The sequence below is a fragment of the Homo sapiens genome, chromosome 13 (genome assembly GCF_000001405.40).
Source record: "Homo sapiens chromosome 13, GRCh38.p14 Primary Assembly".
Lineage (NCBI taxonomy): Eukaryota > Metazoa > Chordata > Mammalia > Primates > Hominidae > Homo > Homo sapiens.
The window spans coordinates 70753613-70780195 of record NC_000013.11 but is presented as its reverse complement, the minus strand read 5'-3'; the positions used below and the strand labels follow the sequence as shown (position 1 = coordinate 70780195).

General features: G+C 33.0%; 1 long non-coding RNA gene across 1 annotated transcript in view, besides 3 other annotated features; it reads right to left on the bottom strand.

The window, feature by feature from the left end:
- The window catches only part of LOC105370255 (uncharacterized), a 62160-nt gene extending 47742 nt beyond the window's left edge, over positions 1 to 14418 (bottom strand). The window contains exon 1 of the long non-coding RNA XR_942058.2: positions 14370 to 14418. This is a non-coding gene — a long non-coding RNA (uncharacterized LOC105370255). The remainder of the gene's footprint in view (positions 1 to 14369) is intronic.
- Positions 9414 to 10039: an enhancer, noted in NCBI's record as "NANOG hESC enhancer chr13:71344289-71344914 (GRCh37/hg19 assembly coordinates)". NCBI's record gives its function as "activates a minimal SCP1, AML or CMV promoter by ChIP-STARR-seq in primed H9 embryonic stem cells {active_cell/tissue: H9 hESC(primed)}" and the evidence as "EXISTENCE:reporter gene assay evidence [ECO:0000049][PMID:30033119]".
- Positions 9414 to 10719: a biological region, named in NCBI's record as "VISTA enhancer hs126".
- Positions 9460 to 10719: an enhancer, noted in NCBI's record as "VISTA enhancer hs126". NCBI's record gives its function as "enhancer in: limb[6/7]" and the evidence as "EXISTENCE:transgenic organism evidence [ECO:0001131][PMID:17130149]".
- Positions 14419 to 26583: the final 12165 nt, after the last annotated feature.

Genomic DNA, 26583 nt, shown 5'->3' with positions numbered 1-26583 from the left:
ATTTTATTTTTAAACAAGACTGATTAATAATTTGTAATGAACTATAAGGATGAATCTCCCTCTTCTTTAGCTGTTAGAGATTATATGATTTCCAGCATATCAGTATGGAAGAGCACTACTGATTTTGATTCTTGTAAGTTTTAACTGATACATAAGGAAGTTAAAGAATTCCAGATTTTCAAAATAGAATTCCATCCGATGCTCTGATCAGAGGAATGTTCCCTATAAGTGGAAGGCTTTCAGATTTGTTTGCCTCTCTGTGAGTATATGACCCAAGATATCCTATGAGCACCAGCATGCCTAAAGATGTGGTAGTCATCATCATTCTGAAGGTGATGAACTGTTTAAAACAATAGCAAATATATTGCAAGGATCTCCTGATACATAAAAGTAGTGTTAGGAGAAAAAGAATGAGCTGGATAAATAAAGAATATTTCCTTTATGTTTATTCCTTGAGTCCCTGTATGGAACAAAGGATAGCTTCTTTGTAAGAGCCCTGCTTCAAACTATTATATATTTTATTCCATGCATGAGTCAATAATGCATGGTATTATTTTCCTTGAAAAATAGGAATGGATACGTTCTCCCCTGTTGCCAAAGTTAAAATGTTCAGTTTATTTTCAATCTGTATTTTATGCAGCTATAACAAGCATAAAACACACTTCCAAGGGGTGTAGAATTTTTTTTCATATGCCAAATTCATTGCATTATAAAGTTCCAACACTTGCTAGCCATTTAGCCGACTCTTATTGTTTAACATTTATATAGAAATTTACAACTACCAGTGGGCTTACTTTTCCATGGAAAGTAAGGAAATTTACCTTAGTTCCCACCTAAATTTAAATGCCCTAAGGTAATAAAGATATTGTTCAGAGAGTAAATTATTTCCTTTAACTGAGGAATTATAAAATCATTTATCATAATGTCCAGATATTTTTCTAACTGATATTGTAACTCATCCATTTAACTGTCATGGAAGCCCCTGCATCTATGCTTCTAATTTAAGTGAAAAGAAAATAACTGGGTGATCACAATATCTGAGTTCAAACAAAAAAGAAAACAAAGATTAAACATAATGTATTTTTGTGGCAGAAAAACAAGTGTGAGACAATCTCAGAACTACACTGTGTAACTGACATACGGAATGTTTTATGAAGAGTGATGTTTTCAGATATTTTATTTTTCTACATTGTTCTGAACACTGGAAAGATTTGTCCCCTCCAGTTGATTAGTATAAAGAAGGACCACGACCAGTACTTTAACAAAATTACTTTTTCTTAAATAGTACAGAACAATGGGTAAATTGCTATATATGAGTCTTCTCTTTTATATCATCTCCCTAACCTTTTCTAATTATTTTCTTCTAAGATTCAGGTTTGATACTCACAACTTAAGTTTTCCAAAATTCAATGGATAATACAATAAACAAGAAGCAACATACTAACTTCTCTGCTTCTGTTTTATCATTAGTTTAATTTTATTTTTTTCCCAATCAATATATTATTATTTTTTAAATTATCCCTTGAGAATGTGATTCATATATTGACAGATAATTTTGCCAGTTGCCAAATAACACGGCTTTTAAATCTCCCCAAGTGGAAATTTTAAGTAAGAAGAAATGCCACTGTAAAATAAATTTTAAAATGTTACAAATAAAAACAGAAAAAAAATGCATGTGAAGATGTAAGCTCCAAACTCGGTCATTTAAAATATGTGACCTCTAGCAAGTTATTTTCATATGTAAAGTGGTGGAAATATTATATATCTCAGGATATTATTGTGAGGGGTAAACAAGATGACATATGTAAAGCATTTAAGCACTTAACAGTTTGTAGATCAAAATTTTGGAGTGAGTACAGCAGGGGCTAAGAGCATAAGCTTAGTCAGATTTGGGGTCTTATCCTGAAAATGTAAAATCCCAGAATATATGTTAAATATGCAATAAATCACTGTATATAATATATATGTATATATATGTACACACAATTTAAACATATAATATGTACATATATGTATATGGATTATATATTTGTATACACATACATACATATACTGTATAATATATAAATATATACACATAGTATATTTATATATATACACATAGTATTTATATATCTAAATATATACACAAATATATATAGAGAGAGATAGAGATAGAGACAGAGACAGAAGATAGATAGAGATCTTCAACTTTAGCCTTTCCTCATGACTGTGCTTCCATAAATGTGTATTTCACACAGGTGTCAATCGAAATCTGCTTCACTGTTTTGGTCCCAAAATCGTTGGCTTATTTTTAACCACAATATGTTGGACTCCCTGGTTAATGCCTTGGGTTCACAGTCTTTAAGCCCTCCTATGTTTCTGACTCCAAGCAGCCACTGCTTAAACCACTCTTTCATCCCGGTTAGCTAGTGAAAACATCTGTGCCTAGACTCCTCTTGATCTTGATATTCCACTAAATATCTGTTTGCTGCATAACTCCTGACATTGCCAAGTACTGTGCAAAAATTTGTTGAGAATGGCAAATATTTCCATTCAGCTTTTCTTTGGAGATAACACTAAATGATGAAATCTATAAGCTCCTATAATTTGCATTATCTCTTCTTGAATCACATTCTTGGGATCTTTTTATTATTTAAAAATTTGAGTATCACCTATGCTATCTTTATCTTTCTTAGACTATGTTATTTTTGTTAGATTAATGTAACAGTAATATTACCTATGTTACTTTTCCCAGTTCTTGCAAATTCACATTAAGCTTTAAAAATAAAAAAATTAAAGTCTTTCTGTGAACATTTTGATGATTTTTAAGGCCTAGATACATGAAGACGTACCTACTTCAGAAATGAGCAATGTAGGATGAATTCTTAAACGATTGATTTCTATTATTCCATTTCTTAAGTTCCCCATTAATCAAATAAACACAGCCTTTTATACCAATATTAAAATACACCACATTGTTTTCTCATATTTCTCTTTGTTTTTCATCATACATTATGATGTGAGTATGGATTTTGAATTTGTCTCTACAGCTCTGCCTTTGAAATAATGTAATACAATTTATTTATTAGAAGAATAAAGTGCCTAAGACTTTTGACTGACTAATATAATTACTCTTGAGAGGAGAGCAAAGAAGAAACCTAGTTTATTTTGATGTTTGCCAGCATACCTAAAATGCCAACATGGAAAGAGCTCAGAAGAAAAATGCTGGAATATTTCAGATGTGAAAGGGAGTAGGATAACTAAAAGCACAAAAAAGACAGCAAAATCAATAGATGTGCTGATCTATTCACTTTTATTACTGAACTTTGGGGTTTCGAGCTGAATTTCAGCTATTTCACATGTCCCTAGATATAATGAAGGGATGATATAGACTTCAGTAAGTTATGGGGTTTATCTCATACATGTGAGTGCCTCATAACTTATTAGTGCCCGAAGCCATAATGAGTTATGTTACAGTTTTCATACAGAGCCTCCAAAGCTTGTAACTCACCAAAACCCTGGGCAATTTCATTTATTTAATGCCTTTTTAGTATTGGAGCTTCTAATCTAGAATTTGTTAATTTTTTTCATAGTTACTGGGTAGTGTCCCCTGTGGTATGTTAAATTCAAAAGGTCACAAGTCCCTATATATTTGGCTGAAGTGAACATTCTCTGCCACAACATCTAAAGAATAATATTTGGGGGTGGCACACTAATACATCATGTCAAGCTGACATTTATATCATGAAGTTTACTGTTTTCTGGTGATATTGTTCATAATATAAGCCTTTGACTTGTTTGCAATCACAAGTTGGTAGGATATAGTGTCCTGTTAAGCATCTCTGGTGGTGGTTTGCAATGAATATGTGACTGCTCTACAAATTTTCAGAGATGTTTTGCCCTTTCATTTTGGTAGGGGTATAGAGAAGATGATAAAAGGCTCTATTCATCAAATGTTGTTTCTGTGGGAGTATCTTCAAATTTTCCTGGATTCTTTTTTCAGGTGGCCAGATGTGTATATATGTGGTTCATCATTCTGAACAATAGCCCTGAAGAAAATTGCATTTGTTGTAACTGATTCCTTAAAAAGTTGTATTAAAAGTGTTCTTTTGAACATAATAAAACAAGATTGCTTTTGTTCAGATTTGCTTTTTCACTGTATCACAGTTTTTAGTAAGTTTTGCCATAGAATGTGACAGACAACAAATAATGAAGACATTCATTAAGCGCTAAGATCCATAATTTTTTAAAGTAGTTTACAATTATTTTATGAGAAACCAAAATCATTTAGCTTAATGAATAAAAGTGTTCTTGAAAGAATTCAGCATTTTATTTTTTATAGCCCTATAAAGGAAATAACATTTTAAGACCTAAAAACAATGACTTCTTGATTAAATATGGCTACTTTTTTTATTATTCCTTTCATTAATGGTTACCTGTCTGGAGGAATGTATATGTGGAATTCTAGCCATAATATACACTACTTATATATTTTACCATACATAGAATAAGTTCTTACCCCCCTTAGTATATATTTAATAAATGCAAACCAATTTTACACGTAGCTGAAAAAAAATTAAGAAGGACTTTCTGCCTGGGAACAATACAACACAGTCTATCCCAAAGTCAAATGTAATTATTTTTGAATCTTCTTTTCTACTGGAATATCTATACATCTTCTTTCCTCTATTCCTGTGAGTATTTGAGAGATGACAGAATTTGTATCTTACATTTTAAAACCATTCATATTTGCTAATTCCAAGGAAAAGTCCATTTAAAAAAGACCTAATTAAAATAAAGTAGTTGAAATCCCTGGAGATAACTAGTTTTTCCTTTAAGAGATCGGCTGTAATCCAGAAAAGTAGATAAACACAGATGTCATAGAACTTGACAGATGTAAAATTAAGTTTTTTTAAGTTAAATAATTTTTATAATGAGCATATATTCATAAATAAACTGAAAACAATTTAGTCTACTATTTTCCTTATTATGGATGATTTCCCTCTAATAACAATTTTGTTACTTTCAATTTTATGTTTGTTTCTAAGTGTTGGTCATTTTACATTAGGGAGTAATTTGTTATACTACAAATGCAATATAAAACTAAATAATGTAATGAGATGCCGACAAGCCAACAAAAAGACATTATAAAGGCAAATGAGAAAAGACATTCTCTAGTAAATACTAAGAACCAAACTACAAGGAAAATAAGTTGTTTTCAAAATAAAGTGGCAAGCAGTTTGATTCTATTTTCTTACCTCCATTGTCTTCTTACCACTTAAAAATAATCAATTAATTAGTTAAATTAATTAAAATCTATATAGACTTGCTGAGTACTGGCTTGAACCAACATTTTAGTTTGCCTGCTGATTTTAAAATAAAAATAAAATCAAGACAAATTTGTTTTTTTTGTTTTTTTTTTAAGAAATGAGCTAAAATGGAGTATGTCTTTATCTGGAAGTATATCTAACTACCAGCTCAGTTATGTAAGTCATTTTCAAAGTCCATATAAATACAAGGTCTAGTAGGACACAGTTCATACCTGGATAAAATAAGAGTAGTAGGCATATTTAATATCTTAAGAGCAAAACAGAGAAATGTTAACAAAAATATCCATTTTAAAATATCTTACAATTCTTAGATTATGTGGTCATTTGAGATTTGCTTGTAAAATGTATCTCACTAATCCAGAATATTGGCTAATCGAACTTACACAAAAAGTGCATTGAACAACCTGCGAATGGAAAAGATTTATAAAAAAAATTTTGAAGATTAGAGTGCAAAATTATTGGAATTAAAAATGTTAAGCCCAAAATTAAAACTGAAAATGAGGCCAAGAGAAGTTAATGCAATTTGGTCAAGGTTATAAAGTTTATTAAGAATAATAATGAGATTAGATATCCTGGTATATTTCTAGGAATTTTTGTCTCATAATGTAGTGAAAAATAAGGACTTACTTCTTAAAATGTTGTTTAACCAAAATGTATTATTTTTTATATGTATGCCTTACAAAGCACTAAGTGAAAATTTAAAATATAAAGCATGCATGCGTGTGTGTGTGTGTGTGTGTGTGTGTGTGTGTGTGCCTAAAACTAAAAAACATTAAGGAAAATACGGAATAGTATATCCATATTTGTGCCATTTCTCCAGCCTTAAAGGAAGACATAGTAAGATTTATCATGGTACCAGTGTAATCCTAATTATATGTCATTATTTTTACAGGTACCTAAAGCCAAGATGTTTCTTGGAAAAATTTTTTGAAGCTGCTATAGGATCAGGGGTACCCACTAACTACTTTTTCTTGATGAACATATCACGTCATTCCTTTCAATTACCTTATATTTCTTTTAACTTTTTAAATCAATTAATTAATTAGTTTATTTATTTATTTTTTGAGACAGGGCCTCTCTCCTTCATGAGCCACAAACTTGGCTCACTGCAGCTTCCACCTCCCGGGTTCAAGCGATTCTCCCACCTCAGCCTCCCAAGTAGCTGGAATTACAGGCAGGCGCCACCAGACCCGGCTAATTTTTGCATTTTTAGTAGAGACGGGGTTTCACCATACTGGCCAGGCTGGTCTCAAACTCTTGGCCTCAAGCGATCTGCCCACCTTGGCCTTGCGAAGTGCTGGGATTATAGGCATAAGCCAACACACCCGGCCTATTTTAACTTTTAAGTTCAGGGGTACATGTGCTGGTTTGTTACATAGGTAAACTTGTGTCATGGGGATATGTTGTACAGTTTATCTCATTATTGACATATTATGCTAGTATCCCCTGGTCAATTTTCCTGATCCTCTCCATCCTCCCACCCTCCACCCTCCAATAATCTCCAGTGTGTGTTGTTTTCCTCTAAGTGTCCATGTGTTCTCATCATTTAGCTCCCATTTATAAGTGAGGACAGACATTATTTGGTTTTCTCCTCCTGTGTTAGTTTGCTAAGGATAATGGCCTCCAGCTCCATTCATGTCCCTGCAAAGGTCATAACCTTATTCTTTTTATGGCTGCATAGTATTCCATAGTGTATATATAACATATTTTATTTATCCAGTCTATCATTGATGGCCATTTAGGTTGATTCCATGTATTTGCTATTGCAGATAGGGCTGCAATGAATGTACATGTGCATACATATTTTATTTCTATAATACTATTATTTAGAAACTGATACTAGTCAGGAAAAAAAAGCAGTAGGGAAAAATTCATTACTATATACAAATCTTCGTGGCTATGTCTCCACAACTGAACTGAAAAGCAGTGATCTAACTCGACTACCTTGTTTTCTCATGGACTATCTGAAATAACGTAGATATTTAGAGAGGATAACTCAAGAGAGGAGTCCATAAGAACTCTGAGGCATTTATGACATATTCCTGTCATGATAATGAACGCAAGTCTTCAAAAATTAATCTCTTCATGAACTCTTCCTGTCATGTATATGTATAGACAAAAAGAACGATGTCTTTAAAGACAGATAATGTTTCATAGACATATTGTTCTTTCTGTGTGACAAACAGGGCAAAAACCTGTTGCTAAATGTACCTCAATAATTTTCATGAACGTACACACATAAATGATAGACCTAGAAGTATATCATAGATATCTCTATATATATGAAAGAGAATGAGAGAGAGTGAAAGAGACAGAAAGAGAGTGTGAGGGAGAAAGAGACAGAAACAAAGACAGAGAGTGTTTGGAAATTGGGTTCAAAACACCTCCTGTAAAAATGTTCGTATTGACTACAAACGAATTCTTGAGAAGATTGTATGTACAACTAATGGTTGAGAATGTAGTCTTCACATCTCTAAGTCTACAGATCTAGGCCCTCTGGTTTCACATTCCTTTTAAGCCACTTATTATCTGACCTTGGTTAGCCTCGTTGTGTCTTTGTTTTCTCATCTGTATGTAGGAATGATGATGATAATGATAGTTTCTTCTTCCTAAGTATGCTCTAATAAAATGCTTAATATAGGTAAAGGACACTGATAAAGCATCAGAAATTTAGATCATCCATGTTTTGTATCCATACTTTCAGATTAAGCAATCAATAAATAGGTGTTCAATTCCCTCAAGAAATATGTGAGATATGAATGGGACACGTACAAGAAGTGACAGGTTAAAAGGTTAGCAGGACTCTGTTTGAGGACTAAATTTTCTTATTCTTTGTAACTTAATACAATTAAGTTATCTAAGGCAAAGGACTTTACAGATGTCTTCTAATCAGTTCTGTTATTTTCAGCTATATATGTATATATATACATATATATACACACACACATACACACACACACACACACACCATATATATACTTTTATATCTGTGTGTGTATATATAAAACACAAAAACACACACAAATATATAAAAGTATATATATACTGAGTGTGTGTGTGTATATATATATATATATAATTTTCCAAGCTATGTTCAAATCTTGCTTGATTTTGAATTTATCAAAAAGGACCCTTGTAAGGGTCCTTTTGAAAACAACCATGCTTATTGGAAAAAATAATTTGCAAATATTATATATAATAATCATATACATTGAGTACAAATACTTGGAAGAAAACATTTTCTTTACATAATAGATAGTGGTTATAAAAGTGTTTCATTAGTATATCCAACTTAGCAATGAAAAGTGTGCTGCAGATGCTTTTCTATAGATTTCAGAAGCTTGTTAGATAATTGCTAAAATGATGCCCTGGCACAGCAGAATTCAAGCAAAGTAAATTAAGCCACCTTCTCCCAACAGTCCACACATGGCATACAGGAAATGTCACCAGTGACTTGCTGTGGGAGAGGAGCCTGTGGGTGAATGGCTATTTCCTTTCTTTCTAAAGAACTGTAAGTAAAGTAATTTGTAATCAGAAGGTTTGGTAAACCATTATTTTTTGCTTGAGGGAAGGCCTGTACTTTGTTTCTTTCTGTATAATATGTATTTTTATATATTTTATGATAGTAATTCTGTAAAATATGCATGATGCATTATATAAGTGCTTATAAATATATTGGTACATTTATATCCCACAAAATAATATTTCTATATTCTAATGTCAAAAAGTATTTGATCATTTTAAAAGTCCTTCTAAGAGATTGTTCTTTTAGTCTTTACTTATTATCCTTCAATCATAAAATTAAAAAATTGCCCAACACTCACCAATTCGTGTATCGTAACTATTAAGAGTACTGTAACCCATTTAGCGACAGCTTTTGTTCCCTTATTTGGCACAATGATAGGAGAAGATATCTGTGAGTTCTCACCTGCTTCAGAAAAGGACACATCATAGAACGCTATTTCACTATAATGATAGCTTAGTGCATTAGCAGGTACTTTGATCTTTATTGTTTCAAGCATTTAGATTGAGCTACACTTGTTGGGGGGGACATTTATTTTTCTAGGAAAAACATTTTTGAGTCATAATTTACTCTAATTTTAAGAAATGATTAGGGTAGAAATTTGGATGTCTTTTTTGGCTAACTTTTTTCATTCTTGTGGATGGTGTAGAGTGGCTCTTTGTTTTTTGAAGGTCAGGTGACAATTACACTAACTATAAACATTCATTCTATTCCACTGCTAAGTGATTTCTACTTTAAATTGCTTCTAAGTCTTTTCTCACCCACCTTAAATCCAATATTTATTTTAACCTTGAGCTGCCTAAGACCTTTAATAGGAAGCTTCAAAGCATTTTAAAAATCGTATCCTTTTTAAATCTTTCTCATTTGAATGCAAGTGCCTTGAAAGCTCAAACAGTGTTGGTTGTTCTTATTGAAGTTTATAATGCTTTAGATATTCAAATCAGCTCTATGTCTTCCATTTGTTATGCAAATCTTTAAACTTTATATACTGCATGGTTTATCTACATTAATACAGCTCTCACTAACAGGTCTTACTAGCACAGACATATACTCTAAAGGTGCACATTTTTCGTGCGTTGAATTACCATAAAATCATAAAAATAGTGTGTATTGCTTTACTCTAATCAGACTCAGTTTTATGTGGTTGTTGAAAGCCCTTTTACATTCCATTCTGTGTCTGGAGGTCTGTGTATAAAACTGATTCAGAAAAAGCAAAGTGAAGACACCTGCTGGCTTATAGCACAAATACTAAAATATCTTAGAGCCTGCTGAAAGGAGAATTGGAACAATATGTCATTACTGAAGGCTCACTTGCAAGTTCTAATGTATTATAATGAAAACAGTATGACAAACCTAATGAGACAGTGAAGATTTGGGTAATTGTTCCTACAATGTATGGTAACTTTTCCAGCCGTTATTGGCAAACATAAAACCTAATGAGATTTTATTAATTTAAATGCAGTACATCTGCAAAACATTTCCTTCCTTGCATTCTCCTCTGATAGTCTTCCTTTCCACATGGACTTGATCCTTTTAAGTTAATTGTTCTGTATAGTACACTCTCCAAACAAAACACTTGACATAAATGTGGATAAAACTTTTTCCATTTATTTTTGTATACATTGTCCTGAAGCACAATATTACATTCAAGCCTGGGAAGGCTATCAGTATAACATCTAATAATAGCATAATGTTTGTATTTATAGTCAAACTATTTTTGCTAGAATCTTCTGAGTGTTATTTTAAAGCTGTAAAAATGTCATTTTTTCTTAATTTGTGATGGAAAAAGATAATTTCCTGTTATTTTCAACCATATGTTTTAAATTGTGAAAACACTAAAGATGAATAAAAATCAGTGTCCTGCCCATACACTACCTCTTACTCAAGCAATCAGTATTTACTAATTTTTAAAGTATTAAACACAATCAGCAAGCTCAGTCTACTTCTATGAAATCTAAATAAAAATTTTTAAATATCTTTACATATTCATCACAAATAACATTTCTCTACAAATGAAAACATTTTCATCTGAATTTTTAAAATAGCACTGTTTAAAACATGGAAAGACATGAAGAGAATACTAATTTGCTACTATTAATCTATAATTCCTGTGTATTTTCAGCATAATTCAATTTGTTCTGTCTGTTTCAAGCTACAGTGTCATACACACATGATAGGTGAAATTTTGACTTTGCAGTGTTAGGTGAAAGAACAGTTCTTGATGAAGGCACCAGTAACGCATTGCCAGCTCATGGTAGAGAAAGCAATAGAGCTGTCAGGAAGTTCAAAAATTATATTGTCTCTGCTAGAATAACTGGAAAGAGATCATATTCACTTTCCCCCTGAGTTTTGCAGGTCATTTTGGATTTACAGTACAGCATTTTATTACAGTTTGAAAACTTTATAGAAAACTAAGTTTTCTATTTCATTGTTATCAAATGTTTTTTCATGCAAGCAGAAACAATTGAATCAAAATGTGTTTAAGGATTGCTGTGTTATTTTTCTAAGCTCTGATTATTAACAATATAATTTAACAGGGCCTAATCATCTTATTTTGTAATTTAGACTTTAGCTGAATACATTTTTTACATTATAAATGGGGTAGAATTTGTAGAGTGCCTTGAAGACTGAAGTGGTCAGCAATTTTTCAACAGCCTTTTGAAGGTTTAAGTCAAAACTGACACCCTCCCAACCAAAGGAATGGATTAGCACTAAATAACATACATTTTCACAATGAATTTAGAGCAACATGTTCTTAAATTTACCTTGTGTTCTATGCGTATTGCTTGTTTTTTATGTCTTCGAAAACATGTCTATTTCTTGGGAGAAGCATTTCTTGGAAGGGATTACAAAACAACTTCTTCCAGAGTAGACTAGGTAAACATATTGCTTTTCTCTCATTGAAATTGAGAGGTGGTTATCCTCTTACTTAGTATATCTTAAGTAAGTATACGATTTTATTAACACAATTTAGGGTATTTTGATATAACATCATCCAGTGGTTTCCTTCATTCTGTTACAATTTAAAATTTCAGAGAGGTATATTTTTGTTGTAACAGTCAACAAAGAAAACATTGGATAACCAAATTTTAATGAATTTATGTTGCCAAATATATTTGAATACTAAAATTTTCTGGTGGAAATATTATTAAAGACTGAGATCTTTGGATTAGTACTCTAAACATGGCTATATATTTTTATCTTTTGATGCTGTTTCATTTACTCTGCAAACATTGTTTAAGCTTATGTTTGTACCAGACATTGCTTTTCTTTTTTTTTGGATTTTATTTTATTTATTTTATTTTATTTTATTTCTTTTAAGTTTCAGGATATATGTGCAGGATGTGCAGGTTTGTTACATAGGTAAACTTGTGCCATGATGGTTTGCTGCACCTATCAACCCATCACCCAGGTTTTAAGCCCCACATGTATTAGCTATCTATCCTGATGATCTCCCTTCCCCTGCCCCCCGCTAAGCCCCAGTGTGTGTTGTTCCCCTTCCCGTGTCCATGAGATCCCACTGTTCAGCTCCCACTTATAAGTGAGAACATGCAGCGTTTAGTTTTCTGTTCCTGTGTTAGTGTGCCGAGGATAATGGCTTCTGGCTCCATCCAGGTCCCTGCAAAGGACATGATCTTGTTCATTTTTATGGCTGCATGGTATTCCATGGTGTCTACATTTTATTTGCCCAGTCTATCACTGATGGGCCTTTGAGTTAATTCTATGTCTTTGTTATTGTGAATAGCAGAAATTATTTTTCACTGGATCCTGAATGCTCTCTTTAAAAAGTATAAGATGTAAGAGTAACAGGTATATCAAATGTGTAATCACAAAGTGTGAAACATGTAATAAATTATGCAGATTCCTATGGTTTCGTTCCTTTGTAACAAACAGTAAGTGGTCTTCATTCTGACTTTTTTTTTTTGAGACAGAGTCTTACTCTGTCACCCAGGCTGGAGTGCAGTGACGCGACCTTAGCGCCCTGCAATCTTCATCACCCGGGTGCAAATGATTCTTCTGCTTCAGCTTCCCAAGTAGCTGGGATTACAGGCATGCACCACCACACCCAGATAATTTTTGTATTTTTAAGTAGAGACAGGGTTTCACCATGTTGGCCAGGCTGGTCTCGAACTCCTGACCTCAAGTGATCTGCCCGCCTTGGCCTCCCAAAGTGCTGAGATTACAGGCATGAGGCACCACGCCAGGCCTGTGTTTTTAATATACCTTAAAAATATACTGCACAAAATATATTTTAAAGATTATAGAATCTATACACATTTTTGGAAGATTTTCTATCCAAATGTTCAATATAATAGTTTCACACTTTCACAATCACACACACACACACACACACACACACACACGTTGAGGACTTTGGTTGGATGAATTGTTTGGTTCTTTAGTGACAGCAGTTAATAGAAGTGAGCTTGTGAAATAATTCTTCAGTTACCAATTTTTCCTACCTTCCTTAATCAGAGATAGGAATTCTTCCACTGCAAACTAAAATATAATGACCATACAATAAGAATTACTATTTTTTATTATTGCCTTAGTTTTCCCATAAGGATCTTTTTATGAGCTGAGACTCAACTGTCATATACATTTTCTTTTAAATTTTTGCATTTTGGGTACAATGAGATGAGAACAAACTGTTAGGCTAATCTTGCTACAAATTCTTTATGCTACTTACTAGCTCTGGGAATTTTGGCAAGTTATTAAAACTTTTTGATCTCCAGTTTACCTACCTCTAAAATGAAGATAAGGATAAATACTTTGCGGGATTGTTGAAAATGTTATGTAAAATAACACATGTTATATGCTTACATGCCTGCCATAAACTTCGGCACACAATGGAGTCTAAATGAATGCTCCCCTCCCATTTTAGACTGTTTTTTTTTTTTTTTTTTTTTGCTTATTTTGTCATAACTCTAATTGTAGGTTAATGCAACTCAAACAATTTCCTGCTCTTTTCATGATCACAAAAATAGGTACCATGACCATGTGCCACTTCCATAACAGTTTCAACAGCCCATGCTCTTTGTAAATGAAATAAGATACATTTAATAAAAAATTACTTCCTCACCATGAAGAAACAGTCATTGATACAGTTAAGTTCATTTTCTTTTTTTCCATCCCCAATCTCTAGCAACCATGCAGATTTTACCTTTGCTTTTCTAGATTCTTCCCAGAGACAAAGCTGCAATGCTAAATGTGTCCTAGAAGAAGCATCGTCTTTGAAAAAAAAAATCTTTAAGCAAGAGGTAAAAAAATAAAAGTGGTGGTGTAGGAAGTTGCCAAAGAACAAAATGAATTTCCTACTTAGCTTCATTTTTAAATAAAATATGTGGTTTCCACACTTCGAAGAAGACAGGATTTTACTTTTCAGAAACTAATAAAAAATACTGATAGCAAGCAGTGGTGTATTAAGGGTGGAGGAAAGAGGAAGCAGTCTGATATGGTACAGGTGATAAGAAAATGGATTCTTAGTAGATAATTTAAAAATAATAATAGTACTGACTAAATGTCAAACCAACCTGGTTCAACTTTTATGTCACAAAGTTGTGAGGTGGTTTTCAGTTGTCATGGATCCTGCAGGTTGAAGGTCACATAAACTGAGCATGCCCAGATGGACCAAGCCTGCAACCACAGGCAGAACCTAAGTGCTCTGATGGAAGAGTGGGGACTGAATTAAGAAGCAGACAACCCATGGCAGGATCCAGGATCCAATCAGATCGAGCCCTGGCTTGGATCAAGACCAAGGAACAATCAGACCATGCCTCATTGCCCTATGCTTGCAAAACCTCACCCAGCCCCTAGCTCTGGGAGACAGATTGGAGCGTTTTCTCCTGTCCCTTTGCCAGTCCACTTGCAGTAAACCTTTCTTACTGCAAAACCCAGTGCTTCAGTGTTGATGGATTTCCATTGTGTGCAGGCAACCAGGCCTAGTTTGGTTCAGTGACAACTGTAGTAATTATAAACAATGCCAGTGATAAAATTCTTATTCACTCTGGGAAGACTATACCTACCATACTACTTTTGTTATCAATGGTTCCAATTCGATAATCTCAAAATGTGGATATAGAAAGCATTCTTCTGATTTATATTTAGACAATGACAGTGGTCAGTGACCTGTGGAGGGTTACTGGGGTGTACATTAGGTAAGCTTATTCACAAAGATTACTTAGGTCCTATAAAGCATATTTTCGCAGTGAAAGGTATTACATATGGTGTTTTTGAATATCATATGCATACACAAAATATAGTTAGCTTAATTTGCCCTGGGCACATATTTTAGGTTCAATTTTTGCGAATGTGCTTGTCCTTGACAGTATAGTAAGGCAATATCATTTCATGCTTAATAAAAATAACCTACCTTATTCAATAACAGCTGATCCTATGGTTCAAGAAAGACTTCACAAAATGTATTGAGAGATGACTAAAATTTTTGTCCATTTACTATGAGACATCACTCCTAATTCATATGCCATTTTATAGTAGTTGAAAAATGTGTAATAAATTCATAAATTAAATACCACTCCAACTAAGAATAATCAATCAAAAATGACAGCTGATTGATTTCTTTTGTAAATGAGAATATACTTATTGTTTAATTGATTTCAATATGCTCAAAAGGTGATTTGAAAGTCATATATTCAAAAGAATATTGCTGCTGTTTTAGTGAGAATTTTTAAAGTTCAAAACTGTGACTCATTGACTGACTGGAGATCTTTCTTTTTTTTTTTCTGTCAAGAGAAGGAAATTTATAATACAGTCACTTACAATAAGAAAAAACTTAACTCAGGAAGACGTCTCAGTTTTTAATTTTATCAACAGTTTCTTCCCAGCTACTTTGGAGTTTGAATCAAATTATTTCTTTTGAATGAAATGTAGAATGCTTTCTATATCATGAAAAAAATTATGTGAAAATCTCCCTTGAGTACTATGATTACAGAATTTAGGTAGCATAATAGGCAGGAAACAGATGGGTTCACAAGGCAAGAATATTTTTAAATAAACATTAATACAAGTTGGAATAAAATTCTTACTAAAAATGCCATTTTAATTATGTTAACTGTTGTTGACTTTGCTACTTAAAACTATTTCATAGATTCTCAAAAAGAAGTAAGTGTTTAATTGGCCTTTTGAAAACACAAGTTATTTCTGTACTGAACTAAGCTAAGGCATAATGGTTAAAGATCTCTGTCTCTCTCTCTCTATATATATATACACACACATAGATATAGTGAGAGAGAGACAGAGAGGGGGAGAGAGAGAGTCAGCTTTCAATGTCTTCAAAGTCATATTTTCCTGGTATTAACACATTACTACACATGCAGATAAAATTGTATGAAATATATTTCTTACTCTGATAGAGGATTACATTATTATAATCATATACGTATGTTTGATTTTTGCCAGGAATGATTTTCATAAATGACTGACTTAGGTTAGGTCTTTATGATATAGGATAGTGGGACAGAAATGCATACTCCTTCCTACCTCATCTTCTATAATCAGGTTCAGTAGAAATATTTATAGGAAAGGTTTGAAAATCTAGCTTTCACATATGCCTCTATAGGTACTTTGGCAATATGTTGCTTATCAGCCCTGCACCTATTTTCCCAATGAAAAAATGTGATGAATTATACATTTTTGCACCCCAAGTTTGTGAGTATTAAATTAGTTATAATACATGGTGTATTTTGTGTGGTTAGCATTTCAAGTAATGTTAATTACTTCACCCTTATTAGCATAAAATTATAATTTGTTTTTAAATTCTGCAAAACAAAATTTTAATTTATAATCTTGAAACTCACTATTCTTTTGTATCTAAACCCATGTCTTCCCTCACCTTCACATTCAATTCTTTAAATTTTTTTCACTTCATTGGAATTTTCTACATTTCTACATTTATTATGGGGAAACAAATTAGACATCAGAGCATAGGACTCAGGCATACCTCATAGGCATAGCTCAGAAAATTCTCATGAAGTTTTTTTCTTTTCTGAGTCTTTTCATTTTTCTTTTCTGAGTCTTAAACTTCCCTTTACATAATAGGGCTAGAATTCTTGTTCTTCAATCTGCAAAATGTTACATTGTCGAAATTAGGTGCCTGAACTTGGGGGAAGACAGTGTGAAGGAATCCCGCCTACTTCTTACTTCTCTACAGATTGAGTCAGGTAATTCTCAGAAAGGACATACAAATTTTGATAAATATGAAGTATTGTGTTTTATGTGCTTTGTTAGCTTGTTGTTGCTTGATTTTAAAGCTGTAATTGATCATGTGCCTTAGATATTGAGTTTTTAGGTATGTATTATGGAAAACTCTAGATCATTCTAATCTATACTAGAACAAAAATGAAGTTAGTTTTAGATGTTTTAACAAATAATAAAGCATTTGACTTACAGCTGTACCATGAACAAGCAAATAAATAAGTAAAACATACCTCTTGGTGTACAAAATCATTTATCCAAATTGATAATGTCTGTCCTTAAGATAAGAGCCAAGACCCCTGTTCACATTTGCCAACTGATGGCTTGCCAACATTCCTTTTCCTCTGACAGCTTTAATAATATGCCAGTAGATTTCACCATTGAACAGAGCTAGAATGGGTACTGATTGTAACTTTTAAAATCAAAATAGAAGTAAAAATAGTGAATTTCCACCATGTATTTATATGTATTTCACTGAATTATCCACTCTGATTCCATTCCAATATTAAACTATACAAAAAAAATTCTTTCCAGTTGGACTATTTTTTTTTGTCAAAAACCTTGTAGGCATACCTTTCCAAGCTGAGAAGTCCAATTGTAATGTACCCGCAGATCCAGCGTCTGATGAGGGCCCTATTCCTGGTTTGCGAACAGCTGTCTTCTAGTTGCATCTGCACATGGCGGAGAGAAGAGAAAAAGTAAGCAAGCTCTAGTACTTCTTCCCTCTTCTTCCTTCTTCTTCCCTCCTCCTCCTTCTCCTCCTCCTTCTCCTCCTCCTCCTCCTTCTTCTTCTTCCTCTTCTTCTTTTGTTTTTCTTATATGAGCTCAAATCCCATTCATGAGGGCCCCAAGAACATTGTCTAATTATCTGTCAAAGAACCACCTACTAATGCCATCACACTGGGGATATGGGGTTTCAGTATATAAATGTTGAGGGGACACAAAAATACAATTAAAAACAATCAACAATTTCATTATTTGAGCCATCACTCAGCTGTACAATAGTGCCATATGTGGGCCGGGCGCGGTGGCCCACGCCTGTAATCCCAGCACTTTGGGAGGCCGAGGCGGTCGGATCACTAAGTCAGGGTCTCGAGACCATCCTGGCGAACACGGTGAAACCCCGTCTCTACTAAAAATACAAAAAAAATTAGTCGGGCGTGGTAGCGGGCGCCTGTAGTCCCAGCTACTTGGGAGGCTGAGGCAGGAGAATGGCGTGAACCCGGGAGGCGGAGCTTGCAGTGAGCCGAGATCGCGCCACTGCACTCCAGCTTGGGCGACAAAGCAGGACTCCGCCTCAAAAAAAAAAAAAAAAAAAAAAAATAGTGCCATATGTGTGAAAATGAGCTACAGTTAGTTAAGTGACACCTAGAAAGAATTGATTTTGTTTTGAATCAACTCAAATGATTGAGAAATTATTTCACATATTAAGTAGAATAAGTCTGCTCTTTAACTCTATTTGTAAGAATCTCTCACTTTTATGTAACATAGATGTAACTGTACTTGATAATTCACAATCCTCCTTTTTAAAACTATGAAGACAGCTTGTTTTGTGAATTAAAAATTTGGTCCAAGCCGAGCTTTAGTCTTTGGTTTAAAGTCCCCAATTCTTTCAGCAGTTTTTAAATTATGTGATTTTTAGGACTTAAACTGTACTATCTGGCTTTTTCTGGGCTCAGTAAACATTTATCATGTGGTATACGTGTTTTATGACATTTGAGTCACTGAAATAGGGTTAACCAGTGCTCTTTTAGAAATGTTTTGGATATCACTTCCCACTCTGATGTGTAGAGTTAATGGGTTACACAGCCAGAACATAAGATAGATGTACATAAAGAAAATATAAAAAACCTCTTGCACTTTAAAAATATTACAATTTAGGATTCAGACCCTGCTTAAAACAAGTCATAATGGCTGGGTCCAGTGGCTCACGCCTGTAATCCCAGCACTTTGGAAGGCCGAGGCTGGCGGATCACGAGGTCAGGAGATCAAGACCATCCTGGCCAACATGGTGTAACTCTGTCTCTACTAAAATACAAAAAATTAGACGGGCGTGGTGGTGCGTGCCTGTAGTCCCAGCTACTCGGGAGGCTGAGGCAGGGGAATCGCTTGAACCCAGGAGGTGGATCTTGCAGTTAGCTGAGATTGCACCATTGCACTCCAACCTGGCGACAAAGTGAGACTCCTTCTAAAAAAAAAAAAAAAGAAAGAAAGAAAGAAAGAAAACCAAGTCATAGTCATAACTAATACCCTTTACATTAGCTATGAATAATGTATAATAATGACACACAAACATCAAAAGAAAAAATAAGCATGTACAGTTTCCCCTCTAAAATAAATTATTGTGTAATTTCAAACAGATTAATCTTCGCCTTTTTTTTTTGTTCAGCCCCAAAGACCTTTGATCTCCAAAGTTTTGACTCCTCTAGTATCAGACTCTGTGAAAACCCTCCTTGCATCTGCTGCTAGGTTAGCTGCATTTAGTTCACTCACATGTCTTACCAGAGAAGGGTTGTAAGATGGACTGTTTCAACAGCTTCTTTCTGTAAAATATTAAAAGAAAATGAATAAAACACCTTGTAACCACTATCTATTAGTGTATGTTTAGCTACTCAAGAAAAAAATCATGTTTTGACAATACTCCTTACCTCTGTAGGTTAATAATCAGACACCAAAACATTTTATAAAAGATCGCCTGCCAATAGCTTTATAACTGAATTGTTCCTCCCATCCTTACAAAAAAAGTTACTGAGGAGAAGGCATGAGTTTCAATATTGACAAAGTAAAATTATTTTTTAAAGGTCACAGTGCATTGAAGAGAGAGAAGAAACAAGAAGCATAATTTGTGGAAGCTGAGTGACAAATAGGGTATACAATTTTCTAAGGGTCAGACACTAAAGCTAATAAATGGTAGAACTGAAACTTAATGAGATTTAATTAGTCCCAAAGTACATTGTATTTCATTGATACGTAGTTACAAAGATTCTGAGTCTTACAACTAGAGAAAATAGGCATTCCTCTCAAAAACTCAAATCTGAATTAGATCAATCAGAAGTCATATATTTAGCTACCTATCAATTTAGAAGAAATGTAAGTAATAGAGTCACATGGCATATGACTAGACATTATGAAATAAACAAAATTATTTTCATGACAATGGCCCGGCTCCTTTTAAAAATGAGTCATAAGGAATAGAAAGCAGAATGCAGGGTTAATTTACTGAATAAAAAAGAGGTAGAGGCACATCAACTGATTGTATTATATGAACTTTTTAGAAACAATTAAGAAATAGATGATTAGGGAAACCTAGAAAACTAACTCAGTTGATAATACTAAGGAATTGTTGCTAATGTTTGAAAGGTTTGATAAGATGAAGTATGTCTTAGAAAAATATTCTATATTTCTTAGAGATATATACTGAAGTAATTTGCTGCTAAATGATATGAAATTGAGATTTTCTTTAAAATAATCTGTTTACTTAACCAAGTGATTAATTGGGTAGTATCTCTATAAAATCAAGTTGGCTGTAGGTGATGGGTACATGAAAAGTCTTTATAATATACTCTGTACTTTTTTGTGTTTGAAAATTTTCATATTAAAGATTGACTTTAAAAAGTGTCTTTGTTTATAGAAGCATTGACAAGATATTTATGTATATATTGCTAATAAAATATGTCAATTTCCTGATCTGATGCGGGCCATCATTTTACTAGGCAACGTTTACAACTCTTTGAATAAGACTATTATTTCTTAAGTTTCATTGTGCTTCTATCTACCACATTTCCTATTGTTTTGGTAACATGTAATCAAAAGTAAAAAGGCAGTTTCAAAACCATTTTTAAACAATGAGAATATTTCCATTAATAAGATTTTATATCACAGACATGAAGTCACAGTCTTGTTTGGTGTGGTGGGGGTGTCAGATATTCTGTCTACATTTTTCTATTATTAGAATGAATGTCAATACAGAGGAAAGGTTGTTCGTGCTGTCACAGGGCGTATACTTAGACTACATCTGAACATTATTTTTCAAGAAGAGTGTTCAATGATTTGATCACTTGTCAGAAGCATCTCACTGAAAAATCTTGCAAAGCCTCAGGTTTCTTTTCTTTTCCATCGGAAAAACAATGAACAAAGGCCTCAATCTTCAGTGTGGTATATTGAAATCCAAGTATTTTTTAGAAATCTTTCTGAATATCGGGAACTATATAGAATTTAGTTTCCCTTTTACCCACCTCCATCATCTCCATTACTAATTTTATTATTATTTTGTTACTATCACGTGCTTAATCTGATTTAATCCAATTTTGGGGAGATTAGAAGGAGTTGTTATATAATTCAGTGGTAAGAAACTTTAAAAAGTACTCTGTTACCACTTTATATACCAGACAATGCTGAGAAATATGTTGTGGATAATATTTTTAAGCGGATGGTATCCATCCGCTTGGTATATGAACAATTTTTCCTAAAATTGCCTTCTGTCATTGATTGAGCCATTCTGTAGGTGAAAATGAAGCTTTGAAAAGTGCTATCTGTACAAAAGATATCACAGTATAACTTCTTCTACCTCAGAAGAATAGTGGGTAAACAAATGAGATAACCAATGTGAACATCCCTTAATAATTTCAGGAGCAAGGTGCAACAAGAGTCCAATGTATTATTATATATTATAATTTGTCAGATTCATAGGAGATATATTTATATATATGTATGTATATATGTAAATACAAAAAGAAAGGAAACACCTTTTCTATATTTTAGAAAATTTATGCCGTCTTATACTTCTCAAATTTTCCACACGAATGTTGTATGAATACATTCTTGTGCTGAGTTATTTCATCTTCACACATGTTCTTTATACCTGATGGAGGAAAATCTATGTATATTTGCATAGACTTGGGAAATATCAGAATCTTTGGCAAGTACAGATTGGAGATGCAGATCCAACTTTTCCACTTCTAATGCAGAACCACAAACATGTATGTTTTTTACTTTGGTACATAATAGGTGGATACATTTAAGTGTATTCTCTTGGGCTACTCACTTGGAACTTGACATGCAGAATTAGATTTCTTGGAATAAAAGACATAAATGGGTTATCAGAATTTATTAAAATAATTTTATAAAACCTCAGTTTTAACCAATGGTTATATCTATAGAAAATTACACTGCATTTACCAATTTAAAAATATAATAAAGGTTTTAAGCAACCAATTCCTACTTCAGACTAAATAATAAGACGTATCTGCCTTTGTCCCCTCAATTATGTCCTTGTTACAGCCTGGTTTTTTTTGTTTGTTTGTTTTAACTTGTCTTTTGTAGAAACTTCTCATTCATTAATTCAGTTTTGTATCATGATTATCTCCCTACAAAAAAAATAGACTTAAAAATATACATATGCAACTTTCTTACATTGAGGTATAAATCATTGCTAAAATCATTGGTAGGGAGATTTGAATGTTAAAATGGATCAACAAATTAAACTTGTTGTTCTGCATGATTGGTGAATTTTTACTTTGTGATTGCAATTTAACAACTACATTGGGTGAAATAAATTGGAAAGGGGCAAAAGTAATATGGAGAGCTATTATTTTTGGCCATTGTGTTTAATTATTACCAAATTGTACTGCAAAGATTTGCAAAATGCAGGGGCTCCATGAGTTATCATCAAAAGAATTGGGGGACAAAATACAACAAGACATATCATCCTGAAATTTCAGCATGCCATTTTTAGCTTTCATAAATGCTTCCAGACAAGGGAAAATATTTTTATTTTATTATTATTTTTTTCATGAGGTAGAATGGCATTGGACTGGTCAATAGGATCTAAAAAATTTGTAAGACAATTTAGTTTATAATTCTGAAGGTTTGTTTTTCAGATTTCCAATTTCATTTTCAGAAACCTGAGCAACTAAGAAGCAAATAAGAAGTTAGAATTTTCCAAAATGTAAGGCTGAAAAACATATTTTCTTTATAACCTTTCTCACCAAAATACAATTTTGATACTTGACACATATAGGATTATTGTAGGATATAGTATTCTCAGAAGAGTTACGAGTGAAAATTCAGGTAGGAATAACTGCCTAGTTTTCCTTTCTGCACACATTTGTCTTGCTTTTTATTCTCCTGCCTGTAATACTATTCTTTAAACGTACATGTATCTGTGTGTATGTCCCTGTCTGTATATAGGAGGAATTTTTTAGAACATGCTTCCAACCTGTCATCCATTCCTATTTAAAAGACATGAAAAACCATCCTTAGAACTACACTGAAAATAAAACGTCCACCATACCAGACGTCTCTCTCACCTATCTTCATATGTATTGTGCTATATTTAAATCCCAACACTTAACACTTTCAATACACATACTTTACTGGAAAAGGTGCTTTTGCAAAGGGTGGGGGCCAGTAGGTGAATTTATGCTGAATTTGGATACCTATGAAAAGCAAATTTGCAGGACATCATCTAGACCCCACAAGGGAAATGAAAAAATAGAGCTTCAGAAACTCTTCATATCAGAGCTGTTGGGTTTTTAATAAGACAATCAAACCAAACCAATGAAACAAATCATTATGTCAAAACCTGAAGCCAGATTTTGAAGCCTGAACCTAGGCATAGGGAACAAGGCAACTAGCTGCCCTATTGGCTGTACCAAAGGCAAGTGTTCTACAAGTTGTAACTTGTTCAGATCATAAAGGTGAGAAAGTATGGATTATTTTTTTCTTTGTTTTCAGATTACATCTTCCATATTTTCTAGCAGCAATAATGGTTTATTATTGTTTTCTAATCTACTGATATCTGGAACTATTTTATAGTAACTTGGTTTGAAATGCCATTATGTCATTAGCTAATGGGATTTGCAATTTTATTCTGGCCACTTACTGATATAATCATTACCATTGCCTCCTCTGCACTTCATTATAAACACAGACACCTTCATGATTTTTAAAGTATAAAATCAACATTCAAATAGGATTCTCTTTATTTAAATAGACTTATTAGAAATTTAAAGCAGATGAAGATGATTTCAATGAAATGAATAAATAATTAAGGCAAATCTCTATACTTGTCAGAAACTCCATATTAAGAATCAGGTGAGGGGAGACAGTCTTCTTACAGAGCTGTCATTTTTTTTAGTTAAAGGTAATGTTAATTTTTTTTTAATCTTGATGTTCTTTTCAAGTTTGCTTGATCAAACCAAAAGCCCCCCAAAAAAGCTGCCAGATAACTTACATAGGTAATAATCAGAACCTTTAATCACACATAAAAGGAGACATTCAATTCTATGTTGCAAAAATCATCAGCTGGTTGGGAAGGCATATTTTTGTACTTCAAGCAGTTTTAATCATTGATCAGGTTATGAAATAAAATAACAGATTGCATTTTACAAACTGGTCACTAGCAATGCCTCGTCAGCAGACCTAGACAATAATCCCAGAGTGTTGCAGGACCGCAGCCGTTAATAACCTGGCTTGTTAGTTGAAAGCTGGCAAAGTCTCAAGCATTTAAGAGGATTACTGCTATAAGCCATATTAATTTTTTTTCTTAACATTCAAGTCCATGGTGATGAAGAGCTACTGTAATAGAAATAGTGAAGTCAAACACAAAACAAAACCCTCTGCAATTCCTCCTTTTTTTTTTTTTTGGTTGATGACTGATTTTACAAGACGAAAATAAAAGTCAGACTTTATCACACTAAGTTGGAATGTTAATTTTTGAAGAAATATTTTTAATTGCAAATTCTGCAAGATAAAATAAGACATTTTAGAGAAGCCTGCCAAAAGGATTTATTTCTATTAAGACTTGTTCAAACAGATTTTTTTTAAAAATTGGCCTCTTTCTCACTTACTATAGAAAGAATTAGGCAGAAAGCCCAATAAAATCAAAGCTTCCAACTTTTGACCTCAACCAAATTTATCAATCTCATGTCACAGGCGGCAGAGCATGAGTTAAAAATATAGATGCTGGGCCAGACTGTCTGGGTTTGAATTCTGGTTTCATCAACTTAGGACAATTGCAAGGTCTTGAGCAAATCTTATAACCTCTCTATACCTCAGTTTCCTCACCTGTGAAATGGAGAAAATAATAGCACCTAACTCTTAGAACTGTTATGAAATCACATAATTTAATATTTGAATAGTTCATAAAGCAATACCTCATGTATAATAAATACTATATACAGTTTATAAAATATTAAAATGAGGATATAAATTTTAAAAAATATAACTCAGAATCACAATAAAATAAATAAATGTTATAATGTAATGACCTTTGCTGGTAGGATATAAATCTAAATTAGAAAATAGTTATTCAATCAAAATTATTCAAATAATACAGTGTTTACAGATATAGACAAAGTCTAATTATGTATACCTCTGAATTTACAGTATGTAAGATAATTTCCATATAGTCACAGAAAAGTTATGTTAATTCCATTAACTAGAATTTTTTAGAATGTTTATTCAGCTAATTTGAAAATTCTTAAGTGAGAATATTATGCACTATGCTCAATATTAAGGCTTTGCTGGACAGAAAACTTTTTTTTAATACTCAAACTCTTAAAGAGTCAGCATACCAGAGGTTCTTCAACATAAAAAATGCTCATTAGTTTGTTTTCACACTGCTATAAAGAACTTCCCTGAGACTCAGTAATTTATAAAGGAAAGCAAATTAATTAATTCACAGTACCACATGGTTGGGGCGACTTCAGGAAAATTACAATCATGGCAGAAAGGGAAGCAGGTACCTTCTTCACAAGGCTGCAGGAGAGAGAAAGGGAAAGTGTGAAGGAGGAACTGTCAAACACTTACAAAATATCAGACCATGTGCGAACTCACTCACTATCATGAGAACATCATGGGGGAAACCACCTCAATGATCAAATTAACTCCACCAGGTCCCTTACTTGATATGTGGGGATTACAATTCGAGATGAGATTTGGGTGGGAACACAGAGCCAAACCATATCAGCTTAGGAAACAAACCAGCAACTTGTTAAATATACAACCTTGGCGATTCTAACTCAGGTAATACGTTATTAAGTCCACGAATCTGCATTTTAACAAGAGTCACAGAATATTTTAGAAGTTCTCTTGAGTACATACTTTGAAAAACAATGTATTGTCAATTATCACCACTATAGAAAATATTAGTAATTTTGCTGATTTTATCTCAAGCCTACAAAACACCATGTAATTTAAATCGACACATAACATCAAATTTTCCCTTAACTTTTGTCTCCTTTTCAAAGGGTAGACAGAATAATATTAGCAATGAAATAAAACAACATACGCTAGTTGTTAATCTTTTGTGGTAATTTAGATTTTGACCACATTATTATTAAGAATTTGGTGAAGAGAGAGACATAAGATATGATGAGACTGTTTTATCAAAGATATAAGAAAAGAAGAACCAGTATATTTTATTAAACCTAATGAAAATCTTTATTCATATAAATTATGCTACCTTAGTCATTAGTTATTAATACTTCTATATTTGAATATAGTGATTACAATTGAGCCCCCTGGAGAGTA